Source organism: Homo sapiens, chromosome 12 (genome assembly GCF_000001405.40).
Source record: "Homo sapiens chromosome 12, GRCh38.p14 Primary Assembly".
Lineage (NCBI taxonomy): Eukaryota > Metazoa > Chordata > Mammalia > Primates > Hominidae > Homo > Homo sapiens.
The window spans coordinates 102,684,378-102,702,090 of NC_000012.12; the positions used below are offsets into that span (position 1 = coordinate 102,684,378).

At 39.8% G+C, this 17,713-nt stretch overlaps 1 long non-coding RNA gene across 1 annotated transcript in view; it reads left to right on the forward strand.

The window, feature by feature from the left end:
* LINC02456 (long intergenic non-protein coding RNA 2456) overlaps positions 1 to 17,713 on the forward strand; it is a 432,422-nt gene that overhangs the window by 404,804 nt on the left and 9,905 nt on the right. The window contains exon 12 of the long non-coding RNA XR_007063427.1: positions 5,729 to 5,826. This is a non-coding gene — a long non-coding RNA (long intergenic non-protein coding RNA 2456). The remainder of the gene's footprint in view (positions 1 to 5,728; positions 5,827 to 17,713) is intronic.

Genomic DNA, 17,713 nt, shown 5'->3' on the forward strand with positions numbered 1-17,713 from the left:
CCAGCTAATTTTTGTATTTTTAGTAGATGGGGTTTCACCGTATTGGCCACGCTCGTCTTGATCTCCTGACCTAGTGATCCGCCTGCCTCGGCCTCCCAAAGTGCTGGGATTACAGGCATGAGCCACTGCGCCCGGTCCAGGGACTGTATTCTTAACTTCTGTGCTATATTGTATCCTCTCTTTGACTATTGGCCCTATAGGAGATTTATGCACGTGGAGGGATAAACAAGTTTCACCCTTTGTGTTGAGGATCTTTTGCTTGAAGGAGACATTCCTTGCACTGAGTTTCCCTCATTTACTCTTCAGGACTGGGCATCATCCTCTTTGAGAAGTTGTCCCTAATCTTTTCCAGAAGAAGCCAGATATTGCTTTCTGTAATTCTATAAAACCTTTTGTTCTCCTTTTTCATGTGACCTCAACTGTAATCATCCAGTTTCTTGTCTGCTGCTCCCATGAGTCTGAGTTCCTTAAGATCAGAAACTTTTCCACTCATAGTGCCTAGCACCCAGTGCTGAATAAATAGTTTGTTTAATTAGTTAATTTTTGGGGATGTGTAATTTACTTCCCATTTTTCAAGAGCCTGATGGAAAGAATGTTTATTCACTTATTACATCTAGTCATTTATTCATTCTTTCAATAGATACTTATTAAGAGAGGACCTGTTTATGTTAAGCATTCTTCTGTGGACTGGGAATACCAAGGTGAAAAAAAATATACACGGTTCTTGTTCATAAGAGGCTTACAGTCTACTACTGGGGGGTCTAGATACATTAACCAGAATTGTCAAAAATTTGAGAAAATTATACAGAGTGTTATGGGAAAATGTAAAGCTAAACAGAAGGGTCCCTGGGCCTCAGAGAAAGCCCCCAATCCTACCAAGTTCATATGAACTCAGGGTATAGTTTAGAGAGTCAAAGGATGACACATTTGACATCCTTTGACTCTCTAGGATATGATCAAATGTGTCATCGTTGGACTCTCTAGGATATGCGCAAATGTGTCATCCTTTGACTTTCTAATATATGACCAAAAGTGTCATCATTTGACTCTCTAGGATATGACCAAATGTGTCATCCTTTGACTCTCCAGGATATACCTCAAGTCAATAGCCACTTCTTATTGCAGGCCAATTAAATGCAGATTTGGACAAGTCTGGAAAAGTCAATACATTATTCTTACAAGAAGTCTTAGAATGATTGAGTTAAAGAGACCTCAATAATCATTGAATCCAAACTTCACATACAGTGGAAGGGCTCACAATAAACTTCTGGGTAAACTGATTGTTCATGGAGAATATGAATCCATGCCACTTTATAAGGATTTACTCAATGTCTCAACACTATTCCTAGGAACAAGTGGAGACCAGTGTCTTCCCAGAAACTTTATGAGGCATTTAGAGACATATCTTGGTGGCCTCAGGTACTTTCACACAGAATCCAGAACAAATCATCCCAAACCATGTCTGAGTTTTCTCAGGGATTTATTCCAAATTCATCTTGGTGCTACCCTCTGGTGGGTAAAATCAGACAGCAGAGTTTGAACTTCTAATCCTGAAGAACTTTCTGATGGAGTGATTTTTTGTTTTATTTAGAGGAGGGATCATAAGATATTATTAAAACAACTTGAACATCTGTTTTGGGAATAAAGTCATTTAATTGTGCGACTGCCAAGCCACAGAGCCAAGCTCACCAAGAAAGCCTTCTTTCCTCCCAACCTTACGTAAAGCCTAATACCCAACTATAACAGTATGAACCCTCCAACATAAATGAAGACTAAAAGGGAGGAGAATGGGGTCTTTACGTCAATGAAAATTCACCTGGTGGTTGGAAAGTCAGAACCCGTTTTCTCAAGCTACTTACCCCCTATTCAAACTCTCAGTGAATACTATAAAGAAGCAGTATCAAAAAGAGGTATTCATTGAATCCCAGGAAAATTCCTCCTCCTACCACCACTGCCCTTTCCCCTATGAAGTTGAAGGTCTGAGGTCAGTCTTAGAGGAAATAAGAATCAGGTTTGGCAAGGACCCTTAAAGGACAAATGGAATGAGGTTATTCTAACTATGTGAGTCCAGTACTAGTGGAGCCTTGTCCTGCTGTTGGCCAAATGCTCAAGATACGGTCCTTAAGCTATTTAGACTCATTCATTTATTCAAAAAATATTGAGCACCTATCAGCTAATAGGCTCTGTGTCAGGCACAGGGCTCTATGACGGGATGGCACTTATATTTTAGGCAGCTAAAATACACTAAACAGATACATACAACTATTGCTAGGGCGAAAGAACTATGAAAGAAACACACAAAACTCTGGGAATTTCTTCCTATCACATCTATGGCAGACCTGTTAGTCAACCATTACACCCTTTCCCACATTCCTCTCAGCGAAAACCAATTGGCAAAAAGTTGAAGTCTACCTGCTATCACCAAACCTGGGTTTTCAGATAAGGACACTGACACTCCTAAACAGGACATATCTATGTCATACCTGCTTAGTCACCATATCAGAGTTGGAAAACAGCTTAGAGATCTGCTTTGCTGAAGCCCCTTGTTTCGCAGTGACCCACAATGGGGAAGTAACCTGCCCCAATATCTCAGGATGTCACCAGAGGCAAAGGCCTGGTTAGAACTCATGTCTCATAACTTTAATTCTAGGACCTTTGCCTGTTATCTTCAGTGGAGACTAACATTTTTGTCTTATCCTACCCAATCATCTCCATCCACTTACTGTGCTTTCATAACTTGAAGAACCTTGTGAGGGAGGAAAGTTTACAAAGGTCAGGAGTTAAGTAGTTTTTGTAGTTGGCAAGATGTATCAATGAGTGGTAGATTATGAATGCTTAAACAGGAAAAGCATATCAGAGCCTGGCAACTGAACAGAGATTAGGATCTTTCTTTCTTAATTGTCAGAATTTCAGAATGTGGAAAAATCATCCTCCTGTTGAGTCTTCAAGTCATCTTTTCAGGGGTAGGGATTTTGGAAAATATAGAAGGGGCAAGAGGGGAGGGAGACAGAGAGGCAGGAATTGGATTTTTAAAATATATTTGTGATCTGTTCTTGCACTGACTACCTACCTAATGCAAATGCTGAGAATGGTCCAGTATGTGCCAAACTGATGATGCTGTTTTTTTGCATCTCATAGCAGTTTGCCAGAGGAAGTCAACTATAAACAGGTTTTTAGGCTGGCAATCCAAGACTCCTTACAGGATTGACTCAGCAGTTATTTTGTCCAAGGTACATAGAACAGATTTACTAAGTCTGGGTCATTCTGATAAATTCTTGAAAACAGGGACCTAGACAGCAAGGGGAGAACATCAAAGATCTCCTGGGGCCGTAACCATAGTTGGCAACTGGCCTGTGTCCTCACTTCACTCCAGTCCTGGGGCCTACAGCAAAAGGAAACTCACAAGGCAGAAGTCCTCCTTTGCCCTCCTTAAGCCATCTGCTTTGATATGGCTCCCCTGAAGAATCAGAGCTTCTAGATTTCAAAAAATCTCACCAGATCATCTATTCCAGCCCTTACTTCATGGAGGTAAATTAAAATTGTCATTAACAGAACCATAGTACAGGCTTTCATGTGGAAAGAAGAAGGGTTAGAGCACTGAGTGAGCAGAGGGGTCCACCAAAGACCTCTGGGAACAGAAAGTAAGTGATTCCCTGGCTTAGATAGGAAAAAAACAGGACATAAGAAAATAGTAGTACTCAAACTTTGGCATGCACCAGAATCACCGACAGGGCTTTTAAAACACAAATCCCTGGACCTCACCCCCAGAACCTCTAATTCTTGTGGGTCTGGGACACTGGAACTCGCATTTCTTTATTTATTTATTTTTTTTTTTTGAGATGGAGTCTCACTCTGTCACCCAGGCTGGAGTGCAGTAGCACTATCTCAGTTCACTGCAACCTCTGCCTCCGGGGTTCAAGCAATTCTCCTGCCTCAGCCTCCTGAGTAGCTGGGATTACAGGTGTGCACCACCACACCTGGCTAATTTTTGTATTTTTAGTAGAGGTGAGGTTTCACCATGTTAGTCAGGCCGGTCTTGAACTCTTGACCTCGTGATCTGCCTGCCTCGGCCTCCCAAAGTGTTGGGATTACAGGCGTGAGCCACTGCGCCCAGCCTAGAATTTGCATTTCTAACAAGTTCCCAGGTGATGCCAATGCTTCTGGTACAGAAACCACACTTTGAAAACTTCTGTATTAGATAAAAAGAGAACAAAGAGGAAGGCAACTGTATGAAGCCACTCAATTCCCTTATCCTCTAAAGGCTTCATGGAGGGAGTTGATGAGTAGATATTTTCCCTAGTTAGGTAGATGGATGCAGTCTTTTCTTTCCATTAAGTGTCATATTTGAACTTAGTGAGGGTGCTGTGCAAGGGAGGGCTATGCCAGCTGGCATAGTTCACAAAACATAATTTCCTGTGGAAATTCAGTAAAAAATCACAAAGAGGTGAAGTCAGATGCTACCCAAGGGTCACAAGGTTGAGCCCTGGAGGGAGTGAGGGACTGGCTTGGGTCTGGTGACTTGCGGTGGGGTTGGGGTGGTAAACGGGAGACAGAAGAAGATCCAGTTCTCCTGTTTGCCATTGCTCATCACTAAGTATATTACAGGCTGTAAATTACAAGTAACCTCATTTTTCCAATTATATTAACTTTTATTCATATTTAGGGGATACTGCAATGTGGGAGAAAGGGCCCTGGACAGGGAGCTGGCAAGTCGCAATCCTGGCTCCACCCCAGTTAGTATTGTGATAATTAGTGTTCCTCTCTGCATCCGAGCTTCTTTATTAGTAAACTGAAATAAAAATGTTTCTAAACACTCCTTGAGGGTCCAATGAGATAAAGTATAAAGGCACTTTGCAGAAATATAAGGTACTATAGAAGTGGAAGAAATACCTTTTTACTCACTCACTCATTCACTCACTCACTCATTCATTTGACAAAATTGTATTAGGAATCAATCATGTGCTGTACTCTGACAACATCATGAGGAACAAAAGAAACAAGGTTCTTGCCTCATTAGGGGGAAAAGAGGAAATAATAGGCTTTCTTCTCAATCTTCTCCCCTAACCTTGCTACTACGGAGAATACTTTTAGTGGGACCACAGCAGAGAGTTAACAGACACACCTTTAGAGTTTTCCTGGGAGAGGGTCTTCAGGTGCCCTTGCATGCCCTCTCCAGACTACTACATATTCTCATCTCTAAGCAGAAAGAGACAGATGAGGGAGAAGAGGTACTGAGCCAGTGAGGTGGGGAGTGTGGAAAAGGCCTCACAGTAGAGTCACTGGGTCCCAATCCTAGCACTCAATGGGTGGCTTTGGATGAGTTATTTAACACCTCCATGGCCCAATTTTTATCTATTATATGGACATAAGTCATGGCTAAGATTCAGCAGTACTGGTTGGTGAAACATTGAAATACTTCTGTCCCAGCTGGTAAAAGTTACTGCCACTCAAGTATCTCCTATTCCTGCTACTCTGGGCACTCATGCCCTACCCTGTCCTGGGAACTTTCCACAGTCCAGCAAATAAGAAGTAATGCCCGTCACAGTGGGTGAATCCACTCTGCTTCAGTAAAACTTCTGTAGTTTCTGGGTGGCTGATGACCGTGTCGAATGTGTTGTTAAATATTTTGACTATCACTTGTCTATACAACTTTTTTGAGGATCTCATTACAATCTCAATAAGCAAATGTCTTTTTGTGTGCTCAATACAGTCTTGTTTCCTCCTCCAGGCAAAAATGGACTGTTTGGTGTTGGAGGCTGAGCAGAGGTGGGCAAAAAGGAACAGAAGGAGAGTAACTGGTGAAGAAGGAGCAAAGAGTGAGGCACAGTAAGTTGGTCGTGGCGAGGGGGCGGGGGGCGGGGGTGGGGGGTGCGGGCAGATTCTCTCTGGACCTGGGATGCGCTTAGCAAGTCCCTTCTTGGAGTCCAGAGAGAAAGTAAGAGCTCAGGGCATGTCAAAGGGCTTGCAGTTCTTTGAATGGAACACAAAGTGTTATTGTTACATAGTAACAGCTCTTGCTCACATCGACAATTTATTCCATTCTAATTCTAATCTCTTCTTCACAGGGGAGACAAAAGTCTGCACATTTCTCCCTTGCACAGCCCTGCAACTTGCTACTGGGAGAATGGTTTCCTTGTTTCCCTGAGACTCACATTTGCACTTTCTTGGCAAACCTGCTGAGAGGTATCAGAGTCACTGGACACACCCCAGAACATTGATATGTTTGGAATTTAATCAGAAGCCCCACAAAAATGGGACTATTTACCTTACTCCTGGAAACACCCATTTGAAAAATATTTAAAAGCTATCAAAATACAAATTATTAGGACTCTGCCCTTCACAACGAGCTTTTTAGGATTTATGTATTTTGATATGTGCCTCATTCTTCCCAAGAAACGAGGTCAGGCATTTCCCTGATTCTGACATTTTAGTGCAGTGACTAGTAAAAAGATGGATAGGGTCCAACCCTGTTTTTCCATACTTCTTTACCTTGTTCTTTGGTGTCTGTTTTCTTGCAGGAGGGGCCTGGAAAAGCCTCTCCCAGCAATCTCAGGTGGCATGGTCTTACTGCCTGGAATTGCCAACCTTGGAGTTCCAACTCTGCATCTTTGAAGTCTGGCTGGGAGTAGTCACCAATCTGAAAGTCAAGGCCCACAGGATCCTGAGAGTCCAGGAGTCCAGAAAGAGACAGACAGGCAGATAGATAGAGAGAGAGAGAGAGAGAGAGAGAGAGAGAGAGAGAGAGAGAGAGAGACAGACAGGCAGACACACACACACACACACACACACACACACACACACACACACACACACACACAGAATCAACTATGCTGCTGCTTACCAGCCTTTTACTTCCTTACTTGTTACTCTTATTGTGTCCTCTGACACCAGCCTAGGGGTTGTTTTAAAGCTTCTCCATGATTCTCAAATCTTCAGACTCACCCTCCCCACCTAGTTCTCTAAAATGCCACCAGCTCCCCCTCTGCATTGGAAACATCCATCTTCCCTGCTCACTATTCCCCTCCGTCTCAAAATGTTCCTTTGTTCTTCACTCACTTCCTTTCCTTTGGCATCTGGGGAAGGTTTGTTCTCCTTTTCAAATTGAAGGCCCTGACCTGGGCTCATGATCAAATATCACTCAGTGATCTCCTCTTGAGTAATTTCAGTCTCACCCTTTCTGTAAGAAGGACCCTCAGTCTTTCCCACACAATGCCCTCTCAATGTGCACCCTACCTTTCTTTTCCTTCCTTTTAGAATTGTTAAATTAGCAGCCTGCACTGACTAGCTCCTCTTTCTCACCTCATCTCTTTCCAATCTGCAGATTGCAATTCTGATTGGGATCTTACTTCTGGTCAAATTGCAATATTGAAACATAATTGGTGGTGTAATGATTTTACCATTGATGACTCTCAAACCATCCAAGTCAGTTTTTTCTTTCTTTCTCAGTCTTATTCTCACCCTTCCCTCACTACAGGGCATAGGACACTGCTGACATCCCCTTGCTTCTTGAAATGAATGCTTTCTGCTACACTACAGTAGTAGTTCTCTTTCAACCAGGGATAGTTTTTCTCAAGTTTCCTAAATGATGCCTCCTTGGCATTCCTGAGATTCTTCTCCTCTCCTCCCTTTTTTGCCTTTACTCCACTCTCCCCTCCCCTTGTCTCATGCACTGCCATGGTTTTGGTGACTACCCCTTACCTCTACAGAAATGACTCCCAAATCCTTGCCTCCAGAGGTCTCTTGCCTCCTGGATCATAGTCCCTCAATTCTACCTGCTGGATTTTTCCTTTGGTATACTGCTGGCATCTTAACCCAGAGTGTTCAATACCCAAATCATTCCCCTCTTCTTGAAACAGACTCAGCCTTTTCAGCCTCTTTACTTTTGTAAATGGTATAAACGTTACCTGAGTCAGGCAAACTAAAAATATTTGCTTCTGCATTGCATCACTCTATTTATTTAACTCACTTTTTCTGTTTGGTTGTTTTCTGCACTGGCTCTTGGCTCTACTCCCTGCTTTCCACTGCAGTTGCTCTCACCTGAATGCATAGTTTATCTTTCTGCTTGGATGCTTGCACTAGCCTGTTTGGTGACTGTTTCCTTGATTTTGTTTTCTCCTTTTCCAATTATCTAACACACTCAGACAAACTGATCTTCTTTGAAAAATTTTTTCTGAGACAGAGTCTCGCTCTGTCACCCAGGCTGGAGTGCAGTGGCGCAATCTTGGCTCACTGCAACTTCTGCCAGGTTCAAGCAATTCTCCTGCCTCAGCCTCCCAATTAGCTGGGATTACAGGCACCCGCCACCATGCCCGGCTAATTTTTTATATTTTTAGTAAAGATGGGGCTTCATTATGTTGGCCAGGCTGGTCTCGAACTCCTGACCTCAAATGATCCACCCACTTCAGCAAATTGATCTTCTTAAAGCCTGATGAGTCTTTGCTGGTCTCACCTCTCTGCTAAATTAAGCTAACCTTTAAAATGGCATTTAAGGTCTTAAAGATCTTTCAAGGCTCAATTCTCAGGACTTCCCTAAAATTAATCTATTTTCTAATCAAATGTGATGGCTCAAAATTTCCCAGTAATTTCCAATTTCTGCCCCTTTGTTTATATTCTTTCCTTTACCTAGCTCCCCCAAGAGCACTTTTGCTCAAATGCAGTGGAATCAATTCCTTCTCTGAAACCCTATAAAACTTAGTTTGTGCCTGCTTTTTTACCCTGATCATTGTCTGCTTAATATTGCATATTTTGGTAGCCTAATTATCCTACTTCTATCTCTTCCAGTTTATAAAATATTTGAAGGGAAAGAGTGTACTGTAGGCTTTCTTAGAATCTTGCATGGCATCCGAGGCAGTATCTTTTGCATTGTAGGCTCCAATATATATTTGTTGAATGCTAAATAAACTAATCATATTTTTAGAAACTTTATATTCAGTTTCTTGTTTTGGAAAATATTTAAATTTTTAATTTTATTTATTTTTTATTTTAATTAATGACTGGAAAATACTAGTAACTATTCACCTCACATAAACATTCTCAAAACAAACTCATTTCTCCCAAAGATGACTACATTCATCAACATTTAGAGATAATTCTTCAGAAGCAAGATGGTGGACTGGAGGGCTCCACTAATTGTCCCTCCAACAAGGACACCAATTTAAGAACTATCTATACACACACAAAAGCACCTTCATAAGCTCCAATAATCATGTGAGCACTCACAGTACCTGGTTTTAACTTTGTATCACTGAAAGAGGCACAGAAGAGGCAGGAGAAACAGTCCTGAATCACCAATGCCACCCCTCCTTAAACCACTTGCAGTGGTGGCATGGTGTGAAGCATTTCTATGCTCTGGGGAAAGGAAGAGTGGAGTAATTATGAGACATTGACTCAGTGCTGCCTTGTTCAAGTAGAAGGTAAAAAACAGGCCAAACTCACATGACACCCAGCCATGGAGGGGGCATTTAAACCAGCCCAAGACTGAGAGTAATTGCCAATCCCAGCATGGGAACATAAGTTCCCATAAGCCTTGCCACTGTGGGCTAAAGTGCTCTGGGGCCTCAAATAAATTTCAAAGGCAGCCTGGGCCACAAGAACTGCAACTGCTAGGTGAGTCCTAATGCTGAAATGGGCCCAGAGCCAGCGCGCTGTGGGGGGAATTAGACCTACTGAGACATCAGTTGGGGTGGTTAAGGAAGTGCTGGCATCACTCCTCCCCTAACCACAGGCTTCACAGATCGCAGCTCCAAAAGAGACCCCTTCATTCTGCTTGAGGAGAGAACAGGGAAGAGTGAGGAGGACTTTGTCTTACATCTTGGATACCAGCTCAACCACAGCAGGATAGGGAACCCATTAGAGGTGTGAGGCCCTAGCTCATGGATGACATTTCTAGACACACCATGGGCTAAAAGGGAACCTGTTGCCCTGAAAAGAAGAACCCAGTCCTGGCAGTCCTGCTAACTTGAAAAGCCATTGGACCTTAAATAACCAGCATCCATAACCGGGTAAACAATCCAAAACACTGTGGGCCTTGGTGATACGCTGAGACTTGCTGGCTTCAGGTGAGACTCAGCACATTCTCAGCTGTGGTGGCTGTGGGGCAAGGATCTTTCTGCTTGAGAAAAGTGGAGAGAAATGTACAGGTGACTTTGTCTTGCACCTTAGGTACCAGCTCTGGCCACAGTGGGGTGGAGCACCAAGTGGGCTTTTGGGGTCCCCAATCCCAGCATTTGGCTCTTGGATGGTATTTCTGAACCTGCTTTGGGCCAGAGGGGAGCTCACTGCCCTGAAGGGTGAGTCCCAGACCAGGCAGCATTCAACATAAACTGACTGAAGAGCCCTTGGGCCTTAAGGGTACATTGGTGGCAGTCTGGCAGTACTCACTGTGGGCTTGTGGTGGCAGTGGCCACGGGGGAGGCTTCTCTGCCTTTGGAAAGTGTAGGGGAGAGTGGGAAGGACTGCATCTTGTGGTTTGAGTGTCAGCTCAGCTGCAGTACAATAGAACACCAGGTAGACTTCTAAGGTTTTTGACCGTAGTCCCTTGCTTCTGGACAGCACCTCTGGACCTGTCTGGAGACTGGGAAGCTTGCCACCCTGAAGGGAAGGACACAGGCATGGCTGGCTTTGCCATCTACTGATTTTGGAGCCCCAGGGCCTTGAGAAAACATGGACGGTAGCCAGGGAGTGGTTATAGAAAACCTTGGGTGATATTCAGTGCTGTGCTGGCTTTAGATCTGACTCAGCACAATCCTAGTGCTGGTGGCCAAAGGAGTGCTTGTGTCACTCCACCCCCAGCTCTAGGTGGCTCAGAACAGAGAGACTTTGGGAGAATGTAAAGCAAGAGAACAAGATTCTCTGTCTGGTAATCCAGAGAATTCTGGATCATGTTCAAGACTCTATGAGTCTACAGGAACCAGAGCATTGCTAGCTTGGGGTGCCTAAAGTAGATACAGCTTAGATCACAACAACTAAGTTTTTTTTTTTTTTTTTTGAGTATCTGGAAAGCCTTCCCAGGAAGGATGAATACAAACAAGCCCAAACTGCAAAGACTACAATAAATACCTAACTCTTCAATGCCAAGACTCATACGCTCATCTACAATGTCAAGGCTGCCCAAGAAAACATGACTTTAAGAAAGTAACTAAATAAGGCACCAAGGATCAATTCTGGAGAAACAGAAGTAGGTGACCTTTCAGACAGAGAACTCAAAATAGCTGTTTTGAGGAAACTCAAAGAAATTGAAGATAACAGAGAAGGAATTCTGAATCCTATCAGATAAATTTAACAAATAGATTAAAATAATTTAAAAGAATCAAGCAGAAATTCTGGAGCTGAAAAATGCAATTGACAAACTGAAGAATGCATCAGAGTCTGTTGATAGCAGAAGAAATAATTAGTAAGCTTGAAGACAGGCTTTTGAAACTACACAGACGAGACAAAAGAAAAAAGAAAAAACCAATGAAACATGTCTGTAGGATCTAGAAAATAGTCTCAAATGGCAAATCTAAGGTAATTGACCTTAAAGAGGAGGTAGAGAAAGAGATAGGGATAAAAAATTTATTCAAATAGATAATAATAGAGAACTTTCCAAACCTAAAGATATCGATATGCAAGTACAAGAAGGTTATAGAACACTAAGCGGATTTAACCCAAAGAAGACTACCTAAAGGCATTTCATAATCAAACTCCCAAAGGTCAAGAATAAAGAAAAGATCCTAAAAGCAGCAAGAGAAAATAAACCAAACACATACAATGGAGCTCTAATATGTCTGGCAGCAAATTTTTCAGTGGAAACCTTACAGGCCAGGAGAGAGTGGGATGACATATTTAAAGTGCTGAAGGAAAAAAAAACTTTTATCCTAGAATAGTATAGTCAGCAGAAATAGCCTTCAAACATGAAGAAGAATTAAGATCTTTCCAGACCAACAAAAGCTGAGGGATTACATTAACACCAGACCTGTCCTGTAAGAAATGCTAAGGGAGTACTTTAATCAGAAAGAAAAGAATGTTAATGAGTAAGAAGAAATCATCCAAAGGTACAAAATTCACTCTTAGTAGTAGATACACAGAAAACACAGAACATTATCATACTGTACTGTTATATGTAAACTACTCTTATCTTAAGGAAAAAGACTAAATGATGAACCAATCAAAAATAATAGCTACAACAACTTTTCAAGACATAGGCAGTACAATAAGATATGAATAGAAACAACACAAAGTTAAAAAGTGATAGGAAGTTAAGGCAGAGTGTTTATTCATTTTCTTTTTGCTTGCTTGTTTGTTTATGTAAACAGTGCTAAGTTGTTATTGGCTGAAAATAATAGATTATAAGATAGTATTTGCAAGCCTCATAGTAACCTCAATCCAAAAACATATGACAGGTACACAAAAAATAAAAAGCAAGAAACTAAAACATATTATCAGAGAAAGTCATCTTCAGTAAAAGGAAGACAGGAAGGAAAGAAAGAAGAGAAGACCAGAAAACAAATAACAAGATGCCAGGAGTAAGACCTTATTTATAATAATAACATTGAATGTAAATGGACTAAGCTTTCCAATCAAAAGACATAGACTGGCTGAATAGGTAAAAACAAGCAAACAAACAAACAACTACAAAAAAAGAAACAAAAAAAAAAACAACAAAAAACAGGCTGGGCATGGTGTCTTACACCTGTATTCCCAGCACTTTGGGAGGTGGAGATGGGCAGATCACGAGGTCAGGAGATCGAGACCATCCTGGCCAACATGGTGAAACCCCGTCTCTACTAAAAGTACAAAAATTAGCTGGGTGTGGTGGCGCATGCCTGTAATACCAGCTACTTGGGAGGCTGAGGCATGAGATCCCTTGAACCTGGGAGGCAGAGGTTGCAGTTAGCCAAGATCACGCCACTGCACTCCAGCCTGGTGACAGAGCAAGACTCCGTCTCAAAAAAAAAAAAAAAAAAAAAAAAAATCAATACTCAGTAATCTTTTGCCTACCGGAAATATACTTCATCTATAAAGACACACATAGACTGAAAGTAAAGGGGTAGAAAAAGATATTCCATGCCAAAGGAAACCAAAAAAGAGAAGGAATAGCTATACTTATATCAGACAGAATAGATTTCAAGACAACAACTGAGGTAACAGGAAACTATGTGGTGATAAAGGGGTCAATTCAGCAAAAGGATATAACAATTTTAAATGTATATACACCCAACACTGGAGCATCCAGATATATAAAGCAAATATTATTAGAGAGAGACAGACCCCAATACAATAATAGCTGGAGACTTTAACACCCTACTTTTAGTATTGGATAGATTTTCCAGACAGAAAATCAACAAAGAAATATCAGACTTAATCTGTGCCATAGACCAAATGAATCTAATAGATATTTACAGAACATTTCATCCAATGGCTGCAGAATATATATTCTTTTCCTAACACTTAAATCATTCTCAAGGATAGCCCACATGTTGAGTCACAAAACAATTCTTAAATTATTCAAAAAATTAAAATAATATCAAGCATTTCTCTGATGACAATGAAACAAAACCAGAAATTAATAACGAGAAGAATTTTGGAAACGATACAAATACAAGCATAAACTATATGCTCCTGAATGACCAGTGGGTCAATGAAGAAATTAAAAAAGAAATTGAAAAATTCCTTGAAACAAATAATCAAAACACAACATACAAAAACCTATGGGAGACAGCAAAAGCAGTACTAAGAGGGAAGTTTAGAGCTATAAGTGCCTACATGAAAAAAGAAGAAAAACTTCAAATAATAATAAAAAAAAACTAACAATTCATCTTAAGGAACTAGAAAAGGAAGAGTAAACCAAACCTAATCTTGTGTTGTTTAGAATAAAACAAATAGTAAAGATCATAGCAGAAACAAATAAAATTGAAATGGAAACAACACAGAAGATCAATGAAACAAAAAGTTGTGTTTTTGAAAGGTTAAACAAAATTGACAAACCTTTAGCCAGACTAATTAAGAAAAAAAGAGAGAACATCCAGATAAATAAATTCAGAGATGAAAGAGGAGACATTACAATGAATACTGCAGAAACTCAAAGGATCATCAGTAGCAATGAGCAACTATGTGCCAACAAATTGGAAAATCTGGAAGAAATGGACAGATTCCTAGACACATATAACCTACCAACATTGAACCATGAAGAAATAAAAAAACCTGAACAGACCAATAACAAGTAATGAGACCTAAGCCATAATGAAAAGTCTCCCATAAAGAAAAGCCCAGGACCCAAGGCCTTCACTGCTGAATTCTACCAAACATTTAAAGAAGAACTAATACCAATCCTACTCAAACTATTCCAAAAAATAGAGAAGGAGGGAATACTTCCAAACTCATTCTGTGAGGCCAGTATTACCCTGATGCCAAAACCAGACAAAGACACATCGAAAAAAAGAAACCTGCAGGCCAGTATCTATGATGAATATTGATACAAAAATCCTCAACAAAATACCAGCAAACTAATTCAACAATACATTAAAAAGATCATTCATTATGACCAAGTGGGATTTATCCCTGGGATGCAAGGATGGTTCCACATATGCAAATCAATCAGTGTGATACATCTTACCAATAGAATGAAGGACAAAAACCATATGATCATTTCAATTGATGCTGAAAAAGCATTTGATACAATTAACCTCCCTTCATGATAAAAACCCTCAAAAAAATTAGGTATAGAAGGAATATACTTCAACATAATAAAAGGCATATATGATACACCCACAGCTAGTATCATACTGAGTGGGGAAAACCTGAAAGGCTTTCCTGTAAGATCTGGAACACAACAAGAATGCCCAGTTTCACCACTGTTATTCAACACAGTACTGGAAGTCCTAGCTGGAACAATCAGACGAGAAATAAATAAAGGGCATCCAAATTAGAAAAGAAGAACTCAATTTATCTTTGTTTGCAGATGATATTATGTTATATTTGGAGAAATGTGGGGACTACAAAAAACTATTAGAACTGATAAACAAATTTAGTAAAGTTGCAGGATACAAAATCAACATACAAAAATTAGTAGCATTTCTATATGTCAACAGTGAACAATCTTGGAAAAGAAATTTTAAAAGTATCCCATTAACATTAGGCACAGATAAAATTAAATACCTAGGAATCAACTTAACCAAAGTGAAAAGATCTCTATAATGAAAACTATAAAATACTGATGAAAGAAATTGAAGAGGAAACCCCAAAATGGAAAAATACTCCATGTTCATGGATTGGAAGAATGATTATTGTGAAGATGTTCATACTACCCAAACCAATTAATTCCTATCAAAATACCAATGACATTCTTTATAGAAATAGAAAAAAAAATCCTAAAATTTATATGGAACCAAAAAAGACTCAGAACAGCCTAAGCTATCCTAAGCAAAAAGAACAAAACTGGAGGAATTACATTACCTGACTTCAAATTATCTTCCAGAGTTATAGTAACAAAAATAGTATGGTACTGACATAAAAACAGACACAGAGACCAATGAAACAGAATAGAGAAACAAAGCCACACACCTACTGAACTCATTTCAACAAAGGTGCAAAGAACATACACTGGGGAAAAGACAGGCTCTTCAAGAAATGGTGCTGAGAAAACTGGATATCCATATGCAGAAGAATGAAACTAGACCCCTAGCCCTCACCATGTACAAAAATTAAATCAGGATGGATTAAAGATTTAAATCTATGACCTCAAACTATGAAACTACTAAAGGAAAACATTGAAGAAACTCTCTAGGGCACTGGCCTGAGCAAAAATTTATTGAGTAATGCCCTACAAGCACAGGCAACCAAAGCAAAAATGGACAAATGGAATCACACCAAGTTAAACTGCTTCTGCACAGCAAAGGAAACAGTCAATAAAGTGAAGAGACAACCAAAAGAATGGGAGAAAACATTTGCAAACTCTACATCTGACAAGGGATTAATAACCAGAATATATAAGGAACTCAATTTATAGGAAAAAAGTCTAATAATCTGATAAAAAATGGGCAAAGTATTTGAATAGATATTTCTCAAAAGAAGACATACAAATAGCAAACAGGCATATAAAAAGGTGTTCAATATCATTGATTATCAGAGAAATGCTCATCAAAACTACAATGAGATATCATCTCTTCCCAGTTAAAATGGCTTGAATCCAAAAGACAGGCAATAACAAATTCTAGTAAGAATGTGGAGAAAAGGAATCCTCATACACTGTTGGTGGGAATGTAAATTGGTAGAATCACTATGGAGAACAGTTTGGAGGTCCCTCAAAAAACTAAAAATACCATATGTACAAGCAATCCCACTGCTGGGTGTATACCTCAAAGAAAGGAAATTAGTATGTAAAACAGATATTTGCACTCCTGTGTTTGTTGCAACATTGTTCACAATAGCCAAGATTTGGAAGCAACCTACGTGTCCATCAACAGATGAATGGATAAAGAAATGTGATACTTACATACTATTCAGCCATAAAAAGAATGAGATCCTGTCATTTGCAACAACATGGATGGAACTGGAGGCTATTCTGTTAAGTGAAATAAGCCAAGCACAGAAAGACAAACGTCAGAAGTTCTCACTCATTTGTGGAACCTAAAAATCAAAACAACTGAACTAACAGAGTTAGAGAGTAGAAGGAAGGTTACCAAGTCCTGGGAAGGGAAGTGGGTTGTTAAGGGGGTGGTGGGAATGGTTAATGGGTCCAAAATATAGATTGAATAAGATCTAGCATTTGATAGCACAACAGGGTGACTATAGTCAATAATAATTTAATTGTACATTCAAAAATAACCAAAGGAGTATAATTGAATTTTTTTGTAACACAAAGGATAAATGCTTGCAGTGATAGATACCCCATTTTCCATGATGTAATTATTATGTGTTGCACACTTGTATCAAAACATCTCATGTACCCTATAAATATATACACCTATTATGTACCCATAAAAATTAAAAAAACATTTTGAGAGTGATTATGCCTTTTTATTGAAATAATTAAGTGAAAATAGGAAACAAAGATCTGAATGTCATCTACACAGAAGCTCCTGGGACAAGATATTATGAAATTTGTACTCCTTCTAAAACAAAAAAACAAACAAATAAGCAAAACCCAAAATGGTCAACGCTTTGTAATAGTGAGACATTTGAGACACTAAGCACAAAGTCTCCTATACTCTTTCTAAACACCCAACCCTCTTTGCCTACATTGCACCCATGAGAGGATTTGGGGAAGGACAAATAGCAGAAGGTGCTATAATTGGCTATAGAACTTTAAGAGGGGCCTCTTCTAGACCTTCACAAGTTTTTTCATTACCCTACACATCCAGAAGAAAAGCTTTTTTTTTTTTTTTTAAACTCAGCCAGCTACTTGAATGTTGGATCTTCAAATTAAATAAAAATATATATTTAAAAACACCCTCAATAACTAACAAAAAAAATCACTTGGTTATTTGATACATGGACCATGTCTCAATAACTTGTTTATTTCTCCCACAGGATTAAATCTGAGTACATAGTGAATGACCAATCAATCCTCATAGTTTGATTATAGATTATTGACTTACATTTACGAGATGCTTTCTGGAAACTCTCCTATCCCTCAACTCAGAAGTCTGACAACGTGTGTAGAGAAAACCTGTGTCTAGAGCATGCATTGGCTCAGAGCAAAACACACCCAATATTGTCAAACAATTGGTTGTTG